This window comes from Homo sapiens, chromosome 10 (assembly GCF_000001405.40).
Source record: "Homo sapiens chromosome 10, GRCh38.p14 Primary Assembly".
Lineage (NCBI taxonomy): Eukaryota > Metazoa > Chordata > Mammalia > Primates > Hominidae > Homo > Homo sapiens.
Window position 1 is genome coordinate 112,711,435 of NC_000010.11, and position 15,370 is coordinate 112,726,804.

The 15,370-nt window shown below is 40.2% G+C and overlaps 1 protein-coding gene across 8 annotated transcripts in view, besides 1 other annotated feature; it reads left to right on the forward strand.

Moving 5' to 3' along the window:
• Positions 1-15,370, forward strand: part of VTI1A (vesicle transport through interaction with t-SNAREs 1A) — a 408,381-nt gene that overhangs the window by 264,447 nt on the left and 128,564 nt on the right. The window lies entirely within an intron of this gene.
• Positions 9,656-9,950: a silencer, noted in NCBI's record as "tiled region #3692; K562 Repressive DNase unmatched - State 13:Ctcf". NCBI's record gives its function as "represses a minimal TATA promoter and a strong SV40 promoter by Sharpr-MPRA in K562 cells {active_cell/tissue: K562}" and the evidence as "EXISTENCE:reporter gene assay evidence [ECO:0000049][PMID:27701403]".

A 15,370-nucleotide genomic window follows, 5' to 3' on the forward strand; every position in this document is an offset into this window, starting at 1 on the left:
TAGCCTATTAAATGAAAAGCATTCCTACTACTAATAATCACCCCGGACATTTGTATAGCATATTCTTATTGGTAAATGACTCCCACATGCGCTGTCCCCGGGCCTGGTGAGCTTCAGGCCATACTCCCTGACCATACAGTGAGTCATTGGTAAAGCCAGCCCTCGAATCAGAGCTGGCCAAGTTCAAGACCGGTGACTTCCCACACACGGTTGGTGTAAGTAAACCATCCCAAATCTTGTGGGGAACAAGATGGAGAATACGCCAACAAAGTGATTGCTTTGGAGTCATTTATTTTCTACTATGTGGTCCATAGCGTACCAACTGTGTCCTCTGGGACAACAACAGAAAATGAACTCTCTAACCAGATCGACGCTACAGTTTGTGAGAAACCCACAAAGCAGCCATCATCTCAGTCTTTCCTAGAGTGTGGTTCCCTCTATGTGGTTTTCTATTTTAATCTTTGTCCCACTTTATCTTAATCTGTTCTCTGTCCATTCTCTAGCTGAAGACACCTGACACATTCATAGTCTCAGGGAAGTAGAAATCATTTATAAGCAGTGCTTGATGACTCTTCATGGCTGCCCAGTAAAAGGAGCCTCAGCACCCTTGCTATTCCTTCAGTATTTGAATGAGTGACCCAATTAGTAAGAGAACCTAGTTCTCGTTCCCAGTCTGCTTTTCTGTTCATGACCTATATGCTGTTCCATCCTCTTCAGATATATCCTGCCTGGATATCTTCATTCTTCTCACCCTTCCTCCCAGCCAAAAAGTTGTAGGTGTCACACTCTGCAGGCATGGCCACAGAGTAACCTAAAATTTACTCTTGCAAATCTCTTTTTATTGGACCAGGACAGAAGGAAGTTGGAGTCCTCACATGTATTTTCAGTAAAAGCTCATGACTGTGGAGGTATGAAAAGCAAAAGCTGCCTGGAAATGCTCATCCTCCTAATGATTTGTTTCTCTGCTAGGCCCACAATAGAACTCAGTAACTCTATGTGGTCTAAATGATATAATACAGCTAAATGAGATCAACTATTATCACACACACACACACACACACACACACACACACACACATTAAATGATATAAATCTAGTTAAACGTTTACTCCAGAGGGGGAAGAAAGGTAAAAGGGTAGAATACATGCAGAGGGGTAGGGGCGTGAAACTAAGAGAGGCCTTTCCCTTCCTAAAGAATCTTTGCTTACATGCAACACATGCCCTGATAAGAAAAAGTGTGCATTAGGACAGACTTGCCCACCCTGATTTTCCACTTGTACTTCACTTTCCACTGCTGCATTCTCCAAGCATGTGAACTGATTTGCTTCTGTTGCCAATGGAGACTGGTGCAGGTTCAAGGGATGTTGATTCCACAACATCTCATTCTGCTATATGCAGATTTAATGGCTTTAGACTGTCAGGATGTGCTCCCCCATTGTTGTCTTTAAATTTGGGGTGGCAGATGTTGAACATCTGTAAAACTGAGTAGGGCAAAAGCTGCTGCAAATGTGGGGAGGCCTCAGAATGCTGGGGCCACATTCCACTGACATCGTGTCTCTCCATTCCTGTTGGATCTCCAGTTCCTGATATAGGACCCCGTTCTAGCTTTAGGGATCCCCTTTCTGTGTTTCCATGGCCATCAAGGCTGCCCAGAATGGTCCCCACTGCCCACTGCATTCTAAACCCCTTAGATTTGAGATGGACCCATGGTCCATATGAAAGACCCCTCCCTCCTTAGTTTCCTTCTCTCTCTGACCACCACGATGCATGCACCAGCCCAATGGAGCACTAGTATTCTCTTACAGAACTATTGGTTATTACTTAATCCTTTTAGTAATTTAGAATCCAGGGCTTTCCTTCTCAGTTTCAAAACTGAAGGACCTCGCATATGATTTTTTTTACCATTATTGTCAAGATTACTGTCACCATCTTAATTGTCATTTATTTTAAGGGTACTTAAATGCTAACTGCTATATAAGCATTATCTCGTTTAGTTTCATTTAACTGTCAGAGAAAACCTATAAGGGAGGCATTATTATTTTCTTTTACCGATGAGGAAACTGAGGCTTAGAAAAGTTCAGTAACTTGCTCAAACTCACACAACTCTCAAGTCTCAGAGCCAGGATTGCAGCAGCTCCAGTCTATCAGCCTTAAGAGCACAGATCTCCTTGTCTGACACCTGATACCAGCTGGGTTCTCATCATGCAGTCAGCCTCCAAGAATGTAAGTAATTATACATAGTCAAAGAAAAAAATCTGTTTAAAATCAGGCTATGCCTTTATCAATACATTTCATTTAAATTATCAGTGATGTTTTCAGTTAATAACTTAAGAATCAAGTTTTTAAGGAAAATTGCAAGAAGCATATTTACCAGGTCCTGTTACATAAAGAGGGGGAAAATGCTGCTCTGGTCCTTAACAACCCGTGTATTTAAGCCAAGGTTGGTATAGGAAATAATTTTTTTGTGGCACATGGAGATTACTACACTAGACCATAGGCAAGATAGCAAAAGAGGTCTTCGGTGCTCCCCGTGTATTTTGGCACCCAGCCTTTTCCTTCCACTCTTCCCCTCTCAACATTTTTGGTCACCTTTTAGCATTCTAGGTCTCCCCACTGTAACCCCATCCAGGCCATTCTGTTTCAGAAATGCATTCCCTATTGAAAACTTAGCCCTTGAAAGACACTACTGCTACTGAGAAACCAATCTGAGGACGGTACATCACACTAAGACTTGATCTTGGGGCACAACTGAGTTTTATAAGGAGAGTGGAAATGGGGACATGTGATATTATTAACTCTCTGGATGCTTTGCCTCTGCTTAAAACAGTCCACTGTTTTCCATGCTCCGTTGGATCTCAGATAAGCCCCTCATCACTCGATGCCTTTCCCCTGCTTTAGTTCTTTTTATCGCATATATCAATACCTGGAATCATTTTATAAACTTGTTGGCTTATTGTCATCACCTCCTGCAGAATGTAAGCTCCAGGAGAGCAGGAACTTTGCTTTCTTTACTGCTATAAACCCAGCATCTGCAAGAGGAGTTGGCATAGAGTAAGGACTTAATAAATATTCATCAAATGAAAGGATTAACTTCTTGTCATGCCTCTTCTGAGCTGGGTAGTTTTCCCTTAACTCGGTTGTTTTTTCCCAAAAGAACAAATTTAGGTAGTCATCAGACCTGTGATTTTACTGATATGGTTGTTTGGGATGAGCTGACTTTTTTCTTTAAAGGGCCAATTTAAAGTTGACATGAAGAAAACAGTTAAGTAAATACTAACTCAGATGGGTGCCCAGGCACAGGAGGATCAGGAAAATGGTATCTGGGTGTCTGGAAAACGCTATTCGATCAAAAAAACACTAACTGAAAAATCCACCATTATATTAGCAGATAACATTCAAGTAAGTAAAAAACTGGCCTACATAACTCATCTTGAAATTATTATGAGCCAACCTTTTCAATCTTCCATGATGTGCACCGTGTTCATGGTTCTCTTAGAATTGTCATCAGCGTTGCAGGTTATAAGTTATATGGATAAAATTAAAACCAAAACTTACCCATCACATTTGAGCCCAAATATTTCCTCTTTTAAGTTGTACCCCTAACTTTGAAATCAGGGTTAAACCACAGGCTTATTTTTTCTTATAGTCATTTTTTTTAATATTTGGGTTCAATCATACCTGGTAATTTGGTATGTAACGATGGGGTAGGCTTGAGAATATTCAAGAACAAATTGCACCATGTTATTCAGTTCTCCCTAATCTTACAAAATATGAAAAACCACAAATTACTGAATTTTAATACTTCCTGAATCTTCCAGCAAAAAGGAGGAAGATAGCACCTAAATGAATAATCTAAACACTGAAAAAGGGATGGGAGGAGAGAGAGAATCCCAAGCATTAAACCATATTGGCCTACCAATTATTATGATTGTTTTCAAAATCACAGTTTTACAGAAAAAAAATTGTTTTTATGGTGCCAGGTTTGTGGAGTCCTCTTTGTTAAAACCTTAGTAAATGAAGTTATGAAACTGAGACTAGTTTATTCTGGAAGCTTCTTAGTTGGGGGATAAGACAGCTGGATGAACTGGGAGGACAGTAAACGGTGGAGGTGGAAACCTTCTTGTTCATAAAAATACTGTTTTTCATATGTTAAAAAAAAAACTTTATCTCACGCTTTTCATCAAGAGCTGTAATCAGTGAGCCTGTGTACTTCCTTTTCCCTGCCAGATAGTTGTTCCTGGCTGGAAGACATTTTATGATATTTATTTGATGACACACACCTGCTGAGTGGATGAAAAGCAACTGTTCCTGGGGATGACCTACTTCAAGGGCGCAGTCAGCTTCTGAGGCCTTCAGCAGGTTATCCTGAAATCATTTTAGTTCACCTTGATATCACCTGTTGAACATATCTAAGACTGGTGTATTCGCAGACTTGTTGTAGGCACAGTTGCTAACCCCAGGGAAGAGATTTCGGAGTCAGTAACTACTTTGTCAGTGTATTGAGACTGGGAAGACACGCTGCTTTACCAAACCTACTCTGAGCATATGGAGTGCTGTTCTTGGCACTCGGGATGCGCATCAGCCCAGGGACCTGCCAGCTGGGAGCGGACCCCTAGAAGGGGATCTAGTGGGAACATAAGTAAGTATGGTCCAGCACAGAAGGGATGGATCTGAGGAAGAAGGCATGGAGGATGAGGATCCGAGGTGAGGGAAAGGGCCATGAAAAAATTTCTGACGAAGTGTTCTCCTGGGAGTTTCCAGCACAGAGAGAGATTTCCAGTTGAGATCAGGGAAGAGCAAGGAATATTTGAAATGCATGGAGACACTGTCACCAGTTCATCCTTTGAAGGCAACATGTCTTGGCATGTTCATTTCTATTCTACAAACATTTATGGAACACATGCTGTTGAGACATGGCAGGCCTTAGGTAGTGAAGATAAAATATAAATAATCCATGTCGCTCTCCCAACATGTATACTCTAGTGAGAAGACATAACTAAGCAAATTTTATTATAAATTTGAGTATAACATACCCATATGTGTACACAAGGAGTTCTTAGCTAAGTTGGGGTTCCTGGAGTTGGTGATACCTGGCCTGAGCTTTGAAGAATAAGTGTGTGTTAGCCAATGAAGAGAGAACAGGGACATGGAGGCCTTAAAACAATATGTTGTGCCCAGGAGCTACAGATTGACCATCCCTACTCTGAAAATCCAAAATTCAAAATGCCCCAAAATCCAAGTTTTTGAGCCCCAATATGATGCTCAAAAGGAATACTCACTGGAGCACTTTGGATTTCTGATTTTTGGATTAGAGATATTCAACTGGAGTGTTATTTTGCATATATTCCCAAATCCAAAAAAAATTAAAAACTCAAACACTTCTGGTCCCAAGCATATTGGATAAGGGATACCCAACCCCTACAAACTGTTCCGTTTTACTTGAGGAAAAAAGACAAGGCGGGAGCCAGGGTTTGAGCCAGTGGTACCTTAGAGGGGCTGTAGGTTCCCCACCACCCCAAGAGCCCCTTGCCATGAATGCTGCCAGGGCCACCCCAAGCAAACATAGTTGGAGTAAGAGGACTGTGCTTGCTATGTAAACGCAGCTTCGTAACAAGTGCCGTTGCACCTCTGCTGCCCTAAGCTCCTCTGTATGGAAAATCTAGAGATTCCACCGAAGGGACATTGGCTCAGTGCTGAGAGTTGGAAGCTCTGAGTCATGACTGAGTTGGAAGCTTACATGTTGATTTACAAGGCGTCTTTGCCCATTACATTTATTTACATGTCCAGAGGTCATGGCCTGAAAGGCTTGGCTCCAAATATGATGTGCCCTTTCTATTGTTGATGATGTGACTCTCCATTCAGTTCTCTTTTTCTCTTCTCCTGGTTATCTGTTGCTGAGTAGCAAACCACCCTAGAAATGCAGTGACTTCAGCAGCAGTCTCTCAGGATTTTGGCGGGTTAGGAAAATCAGGGGTTGCTTGGCTGGGTGTTCTGGCTCAGGGTCTCTCATGAGCCTTCTTCAGACAGAGATCAGAGCTGGAACTATGTAGGGGGGACAGGAGCCTGGAGTAGCTCGGGACTGGCTGGGCACCTTTCTCTTTCTGTCATTAGTCAAAAGGCCCTTCCATGTGGTCTCCCTGCATATGCTGGTTTGGGCAATCTTACGGTATGGCAGCCTCAGACTTGGCAGCCCAGGGCACCTAAGGTGAGAGCTACAAAAGCAAGAGGCAGAAGCTGTGTGGCTTTTTCTTACCCAATCTAATAAGTCACACAGTGCCACATTCTGTGCCTCATTCTACTCAGCAAGACAGTCGCAAGGGCCTGCCGAGGTTTAAGGGGATGGGATGTGACACATACCCCACTCTTTGATGCAGGGGTGGCAGGTTGACGAAGACCAGTGGGGCAGGAAATATTGTTGCAACCAGTTTTGGAAAATACAATCTGTCACATCCCCGAAGAACATTTTCATCCACTCACATAATCCTTTAAGTTACCTAAAAATTAATTTACTCATTACGGTGTCGCCCACAACCTTCCTTGCTCCCTTCCCACAGCAAAATCCAAGGCCTCAGTGCACACACACAAACCACAAAACTCCTGTTGTCTGAATGAGAGTCAGTCACTCAAGTGTGTACTGTCCCCATCAAGATGACAACATTTTATAAGGATGTATCCTGTTGCCCCATCTTCTAGGAATTTGCACTTCCATCCATTGTTAAAGCCAAATATTGCTCAGATCTTTCATGGAGAGGCCCCTTTGAATCTAACCCCTGCAAACTAGAGACTCAGGAGTGAATGATTTCAAATCTCTATTTGCTCTGCACCTGGGAGATTGATGGTACTCTCATAACAAGTTTGGTCAATGGCATTTAGTGGAGTACTGAATGCTTCAGGGAGTGAAAAAAGAGAAACTGAAAGAAAGGCCCAGATTTTGGGCTCAAGGAACTTTACAAACTGAAGCATTAGCATGTTCGTGGTAAGAAATCTTCTGATTTAAACAAATGATGTAAATTTTACATTTTTTAGTAAGCACTACTTCAAGTGTGCTATCTTTAATGAAGACTTTAATTCTTGTTTTTACACATATGTAGAAAACAGAAGTTGAGTTCTTCAAACATTTGTTATCAAAAATATAGGATATATAAGCACTGAATTGGAAGATTTTTTCCCCCTTGGATAATCTAGAAAAGAATATAGCTCTATTCTGAAATCCCTTCTCATTCAAGAGTTATCCAAGCAAATAGTGTTGACCAAGGTGTTGAATGCACCAGTAATAATAATGCTACCCTTTCATAAAGCTAAGTAATCAGGAATAATGCTGAAAATAAGAAGACAGTCATTTATTTACTCTGTTTGGCATTGTTAGTACTAATAATGCATTTCAACACAGTAAAATTGCTAGATAATGCTTTTGTGACTTTTATGCAGGTTATTGTTATTTAAATGAACAGTCGACTGCACTGTAATGAAGAAATGCATGCTTTTCCCAACTCAGTTATCAACCAGAATTCTAGGAAAATGAGAATTTGTGTCTGCTTTCATTCACAGAGCAAACTAGAGGTCAGTGTTTTCAATATGAACCTTTTTTTAGCTTTTCAACAGTGAATAATTAGGAGCTGCTGCTTCTGAAATTACCTGTATTCACTGTAGAGAAGGAAAGACTTTTATCTTTCACGATGAAATACATTTTCTCATTCAAACTTTGTCATTCTTTTTTTAAATGGCATTTTACATCACTGAGTCGATCCTCGGTAGTAAAATAAAAGAAATATATTTTGTGAGCTGCAATAGCCTTGTTTATTCAATTTTACTTCCTTAAATTTCATCTCCTCCTTGAAAAATGATCCAAATGCAAAAATGGGTTTAAAGCAGTTGAATGTACAAAGCAATTATCCACATAAAATGCTATTATACAAACATACATGTTCCTTGCACTTTGATTAAATGGAACTGATTCTTGATCCTTATCGATTATGTGCTTCTATTGTTTTTTTAACAGCTTTATTGAGATATAATTTATATGTTATATAATGCGCCCATTTAAAATGTACAATTCAGTAGCTGTTAGGATATTCACTGCATCATGCAACCATCACCACAAACAATTGTAGAACTTTTTTTTTTTTTTTGAGGCAGAGATTTGCTCTTGTTGCCCAGGCTGCAGTGCAATGGTGCGATCTCGGCTCACCGCAACCTCCGCGTCCCAGGTTCAAGCGATTCTCCTGCCTCAGCTTTCCGAGTAGTTGGGATTACAGGCATGCGCCACCACACCCTGCTAGTTTTGTATTTTTAGTAGAGACGGGGTTTCTCCATGTTGGTCAGGCTGGTCTCAAACTCCCAACCTCAGGTGATCTGCCCGTCTCAGCCTCCCAAAGTGCTGCGATTACAGGCGTGAGCCACGACACCCAGCCCAATTGTAGAACATTTTTATCACCGCAAAAAGAAATCTGGTATCCATTAATAGTCACTCCCACTTTCCTGCCAGCCCCTGACATCCACTAGTATACTTCCTGTCTCTATAGATTTGCCTATTCTAGATATTTCTTATAAATGGAATCATACTATATGTGGTATTTTGCGTCTGGCTTCTTTCACTTAGCATAATGTTTCAAATCTTCTTATTGACAAATAATATTCCATTGTATGGATACATAAATTTTATTTGTCCATTTATCAATTGATGAACATTTGGGTTGTTTCTACTTTTTGAATATTATGAACAATGCTGTCATGGACATTTATGTACAAGTTTTTGTGTGAACATACACTTTCATTTCTCCTTGCTGCCTACTTAGGAGTAGAATTGCTGGGTCATGTGGTAACTTTGCATAGCTTTTGAAAAACTGCCAAACTATTTTCTAAAGTGGCTGCACTGTTTCCCAGTCCCACCAGCAATGAATAAGTGTTCCAATTTCTTCACCTCTTCACCAGCACTTGCTTTTGTGCATCTTTTATATTATAGTTTTTCAAGTAGCAGTGAGGAACTATCTCATGGTGGCTTTGGTTTGCATTTCCCTAATGTCTAGATGTTGAACATTTTTTCATGTGCTTATTGGCCATTTGTATTTCTTCTTTGGAGAAATGTCTGATTCTATTGAGTTTTTAAAAATTCTTTTGCCTCACCTCAGGCATGTGGTTAGCAGAACCATTAGAAACAAATATATCTTCCTAAAGGGAGGGATTTTCAAACAAATGTATACGTTGAAGATGTTCTTTTTACCATGGTAGTATTTTAGATTAGGCGATAACTGAATTGTTCTCAGGAAGCAATTTGCTTCTAAAACTTTGTTTTCCGTTTGGTTAGCGATACGGATATTAGTGGTCCCAGAAGCATACCTAGAAAGATCAGCTTGTCTAATTAACTCATTTTACCAATTAGGAAAGCAAGGACCTAAGAGGTGAAATATGTGGGTCACATGGAGAATTAATGATAGAGTTGGAATTGTATCCAGGTGGAGTATCTGAAATTCTCTGTTTATTTTAGAGAGAATATAGCACTTTGCCACTAGGTTCTCACTGATTTAAAAAAAAAAATGGTGAAAATGCCCTGCAGTTTACTCAGTGACATTTATTGTTGAGTACTTAACACATATTATTTTCTTCTATCCTCATAGAAGCATATGTAAGATTGATACTTTTATTTTCTCGTTTTATGTGTGGGGAAACTGAGGTTAGCTCACTTTTTCAATGGCACCTACATAGTGAGTGGCAGATTTTCTGATTCCAAATCTGCTGTGCTCTGTTTCTTCTGATCTGTCTGAGGAATGAAAGACAGCATCAGCACATTGCTTCCTGTGCCATCTTCCAACTTCTCATGGTCACTGAAACAAATAACCGATAGGTGGCATCAAGGAGCACTCACTTACCATTGCCATAGTTAACAGTTATTTAGCAACGCTACAATACCAACTTCAGAAGTAGAATATATGGTTCTGTGGACAGAAGAATTGTTCAAATGTAAGAATACTGTACCTTAAGGCACCAATAACAGAACAACTTACATTCATAGGGTACTTTTCAGTTACAAAGCATTTGACTTACACTTTTAATTTGATGCTCACAATTTGACAAGCTTTTCATTGTCTTTGTTTTTATGTACTTTTAATACTCATGATGAAACAAAGGCCTGAAGGGCTTTAGTTACTACGGTCCTAAAGTCTGAGGCAGAGCTGCTTTTCAAAACAAGTCTCTTGGCTCCCATGTAGTCCTGTGTATTCCCTCCAGTGTACCATCCTCCGCCATAATGATGTGCTGTTGGGCACTCATTTGAAAGGAGAGGAGACTTTATACCATTATTTCAGACAACAACAGAGCTATGAACAAGTAGAAGTTATAGGGAGGCTAATTTTGAACCCATATAAAGAAGAATTGATCTGTCCAACAATGAAATGTGTTGTCTTATGAAGGAGTGAGGCCTCTTGTCATTGAACTGTTCAAACTAGGGCTGACTGACCATCTGGAAGGATCTTGCAGAAGGCATTTCTGCATTGGGGGAGGTGGGGAGTGTGTTTGTGGTGCTGAGAGATGTTAGATGGCACCTAAGAGCCCTTTCAACTATGAAATTGTGGATCTTTGTTCTTAGTTAAGAGAGTAAGCTGGTTTAAGGGGTCCTCTGTATCCTTATTGAGGAAAGAGAGTTTAGCTCTGATACACTCTTATCCTGCAATGTTAAGGGTACAGGGTTTTCTCTTTAAAAGAAAGTAACCAAATTTATCAACCTGGATTACTGGTTTGTAAAAGGTTAGAACAGCTGTTCCCATCTATGTTAACAGATGCTGTATACAACAAGGGATCTATATTCAGATAAGATTTGACTATCGCAAGGACAGAAAACCAAACACCACATGTTCTCACTCATAGGTGGGAATTGAACAATGAGAACACTTGGACACAGGGTGAGGGACATCACACACCGGGACCTGTCGTTGGGTGGGGGGATGGGGGAGGGATAACATTAGGAGAAATACCTAATGTAAATGACGAGTTAATGGGTGCAGCACACCAACATGGCACATGTATGCATATGTAACAAACCTGCACATTGTGCACATGTACCCTAGAACTTAAAGTATAATAATAAAAAAATTAAACATTTTTAAAAAAAGATTTGATATGAGCCTGCAACATGCTGTTGTTCTTTGTGACTATCCAAGAGAAAGAGAAAAGAGGCAGCAATTCCAAATTTGTTTTTTAGTTTTGCAAAGTGCTTCAGAGGTCAGTGGCTCTCAGCCCTTGTTGCTCGTGAGAATCACCTGGGGAGCTTTTTAAAAATCAGATGCCCAGGCCCCACCGCAGACCAAATGAATCATATTCTCTAGTTCCCAGATACTGGTGGGTTCCCAGTATCTTAACAGCTGTCCGGGTGATGCTTACATGAAACCAGAGTTAAGAAGAGCTCATCTAATCAGTCTACTCTGAGCATGAGTCCAGGCAAAATCTGGACGTTTGCTTTTGTAATTCAGCTTCTTGTCTAGCATTTCTATTATCAATTCAAAGCCAATGCTCTTTAGTACAATAAGGGGCAGTGTCTTACAGTGGTTCACACTGCTGCTCTTGAGCCAGACAGCCTGGCTTTGTCCACTTACTAGCTTTGTGACGTCAGGAAAGTTATTTTAATCACTCTGTGCCTCAAGTTCTTTATTTGTAAATCAAGATAATAATAGTAGTTACAAAGTAAAGGCTAAAGTTAATAAAGACCCAAAAGAAAATTAAAACTCTACATATTATGATATTATAATTACCACCATCATCATCGTCCTCCTCGTCACCATTATTGTTTTGTTGTTGGTAGCAGTGGTGTCCTGCTAGGTGTTAGAAGCTAGGAACCTATAGAAAAAGTGCTCTTCCCTGTACAGGACTATACCTGGCCTTACTTGAAAACTAAGAACTCTTAGCAACATTAGCAACATACTTCTCAGCTCTAGAACTTCCCGATGAAGTGGAATGTTTTGCATCGGACTTTTTGCAAGAAGATCAAGCTTGAACCCGGTAACCTGTTTTTCCATCGAGCACTTGATTCTACATTAAGATCAGGCCATAGCTCTGCAAGGTGGGGGCCCGGACTGAAGGGTCAGGCTGGGTTTCTGTTTCGTAACTGGGAAAGGCATGTACTGCATGCGGCAGGCTGACCTCCTGAATCTTCAGGACAATCTCAATTTCAGATGGCCCACCCTGCTGATCAAACCTGTGGTTTGGAAAGCATGGTTACTGCTAAATAGGAAGCAAGGGCTCCAAATGCCAGTGTCCTAATCGTTTAAAAAGTAAATATAATTTGAATATGTGGGATAGCCTCAGAGAAAAATCAAAGAACACAATTAAGCATAGTTTCTATTTAGTTTTCAGTTGATGAAGGAATAATTTGAAGTTGCTCTAGTCACTGAGAGTACAGTAGCAATAGTCCTCCATTCTCTGGGATTCAGGGCAAGAGCGGACATTATGTGCATATTACAGGTTTTCTAGCACACAGATTCTATCAAGATAGCCTCTAACTGCAATTGTGGACACTGGTGGAATATTCCTAGCAGGAGCTCAAAGGATTGTAAAGCTGAATAACATCTTTGTCTCAAGAACTTATATGAGAAACTTTTTTCCCTTTTTCTCCTACAAGCATTTAGTGGTTCACCATTGCAGACACTGCATATCTTTGTATCCCACACAGTCCCCATGTTAATAGTTGTTTGCTAGTTGTGGTCATTTAATTGAAAAAAGCTGGCACAGAGATATTACAGGTCCCAATAGGTCATTTCTGTATCAAGTATGGTGTTATTGCCTTTAACCAAGCCCTGTCCAAGGCCAAATTTATTACATGCATTAATAACATATAAGAGGATAGACAGAGAGCTGAAGAAAAGATGTGTGTGGCCTTTAAATATGCCAATCATCTACAGTTCGGAGGGTTGCTTACCGTGACATATTGCCAGCTGTGCATTATAGAATTCCAGATGGCATGGTACTGTTGGTACTTGTTTTGGATTTGCCCTGGGAATGAGGTTAAAGAGGACACCAAACTATGGCTGGGATCCTTTTGCTTGCCTCTTCCAGGGTAGATCCTGGAAGGCTCTATCTCCTCCAACCAATCAGAAAGCTGCCCTGACCTCTCTTGGGGATTATGAACTCAGCACAAATTGCTCTTTCCCCGTGAATTCCCATGCACCTAGTAACCCTGCACTAAGAGAGCAGTGAGTGCATTCCCTCATGTAATCTGTGTTCGCCCTCCCTCAGACCCCAGAGCTGGGGCAAGTTTGGACATGAACTCAAAAACTCTATAGATAAGGGTTGTGTTTTCATTAGCTTGCCTGTCTTGCTTGCTTTATATTCTGTGAGATTTCCTTCCCCCATCCCCCCTTTTTTTGAAAAAAAAAAAAAGAAAAAAAAACAAAAACCTTTTTACAGAAATTCACACACAGAGACAAAATAGTGTAATGAACCCACATGTCTCTAACACCCATCTTCAACAGCTACCAACATGTCACCCTTCTTGTTTTATCCTTCTCTCCTCTTTTTGTTTTGTTTTGTTAGAGTGTTTTAAAGCAAATCCCAGATGTCTGATTTTACCTGTAAATATTTCAGTATGTATCTCTAGAACATACAGCATAACTTTTAAAAAACGTAATCACTATTTAGAAATGACTGCATAACCTGTCTGGGTTCAGTATTTCCTAATTGTTTCCAAAGCATTCACAAATAGCTGGACGGTTTAAATCAGGCTGCAAACACAGTATATCTATTGCATTTGGTTGATCTGTCTTTAAACGTTCTTTAATCTATTACAGATCGCCCTCCTGTTTTTATTACATTTATTTGTTGAAGAAATTGTCCTGTAAAAATTTTTGTCCTGTAGATTATCGTCCTGTAAAAATGTTCATTTTATGTATTTGAATATTGCATCTCCATGGTGCCATTTAACATGTTTATATTTCCTCTGTACTTTCTGTAAATTAATACTTAGATCAAATGACTTAATGAGATGCAAATTCAACTGTATCACATCAGGAGGCACATAACATCTGTTTGCATTACATTTATTGAGATCAAGATTGATCAGTGGGTTCAGGTGTGGTCAGCCTTTCATCCATTATGAAGTTCTCTATCAACCTGTTAACATAATAGTTTTAGCAACCACTGATGATCACTGCCAACATTCATTAGGGATTACAACATGGTAATGTTCACTTCTGTCATTCAGTTTGCATTTACTAGCTATTATTCTATCATATAGAAAAGCTTACTATCATCAACTATTTGGTTACTCTGAAATACAGTTCATATCAGAAAAGCAGCATAAATGCCTCTGTTTATTAAATAGTTTTCAGATTATTGAATGGCACCAGCAACCTGCAAAAGTGATCAATGATGCTTGCTTGTTTGTTTTGAGCATCAATATAAACCCTTGGACTTTTATCTATTTTATAGGTGTCCATCCATTACTCTTTGATCGGTGAGATCCCCTTCAAGTTGCCTCTTTTGCCTTTTAACATGATTCCACTAGTCTTTTCTGTCAGGATAAGATGCCATAGGCTCCTGGCCCAAACCTGGAAGCAACTATTTTTACAAGGAATCCTGATTCCTTTCCTTAGGAAATAGTATATAAAGACTTCAGTCTAGACACCAAGGGTAGATTTCCCCTGAAATGGTTATGTTTATGTTGGAGTGGTAACGCAGTCTTCCTTGGTATCTCATCGTCCTGCTGTCCGTAGGCATCTGGTTCCACCTGGATGCTCCCTCCCCACACAGTCTTATAATGGCCAGTGCTCCCTGTGATTCCACCTCCTTCTCCAACCAGATCCTGCTGCTTCTCTCAATGCCTTCATCCTCTCCTTCTAAATCAGATACCCCAGCTCATCTCTGGGCTTCTAAGACACCAGAGTGGGGAACACTTCTCTAATGTTGAAGAATAATGGTACCCTTTCTTACACAGACTATTTTTATGTTTTTATTTCTTGAAGGGAGTCAACCTCCTGTTGCTGTCCAAGCCGTCAGTAGACAAATTTAGTCTTGTTCTTAACCCAGAACAACCATGCTTTGAAACACCATGGAAACAGGCAGTCCTGGCCCCAGACCCAGGAAGGCTTCATAAAACCAACAATCCCCTCAGGTGTGTGTGTTTCCTAGGAAGCATGGGCAGTTGCAAGTTGAAATTCTTAACTAGGGTTGCCAGGTAATGAAAAAGTGTTAAGGAGTTAGTTTATCTTAACCATTTTGAGGCCACATACCTATTTGTACATTTGATGAAAACTATAGAACCTCTCTCTGGAAAAATGTACATATACACAAAATTTTACAGACAATTTCATGGGCTTCAAGGAGCTCAGGGTATCTTGGAGTTTCATTTGTTTTCATAGACTAGATCCTGATGTGCACTGGCTTGTTG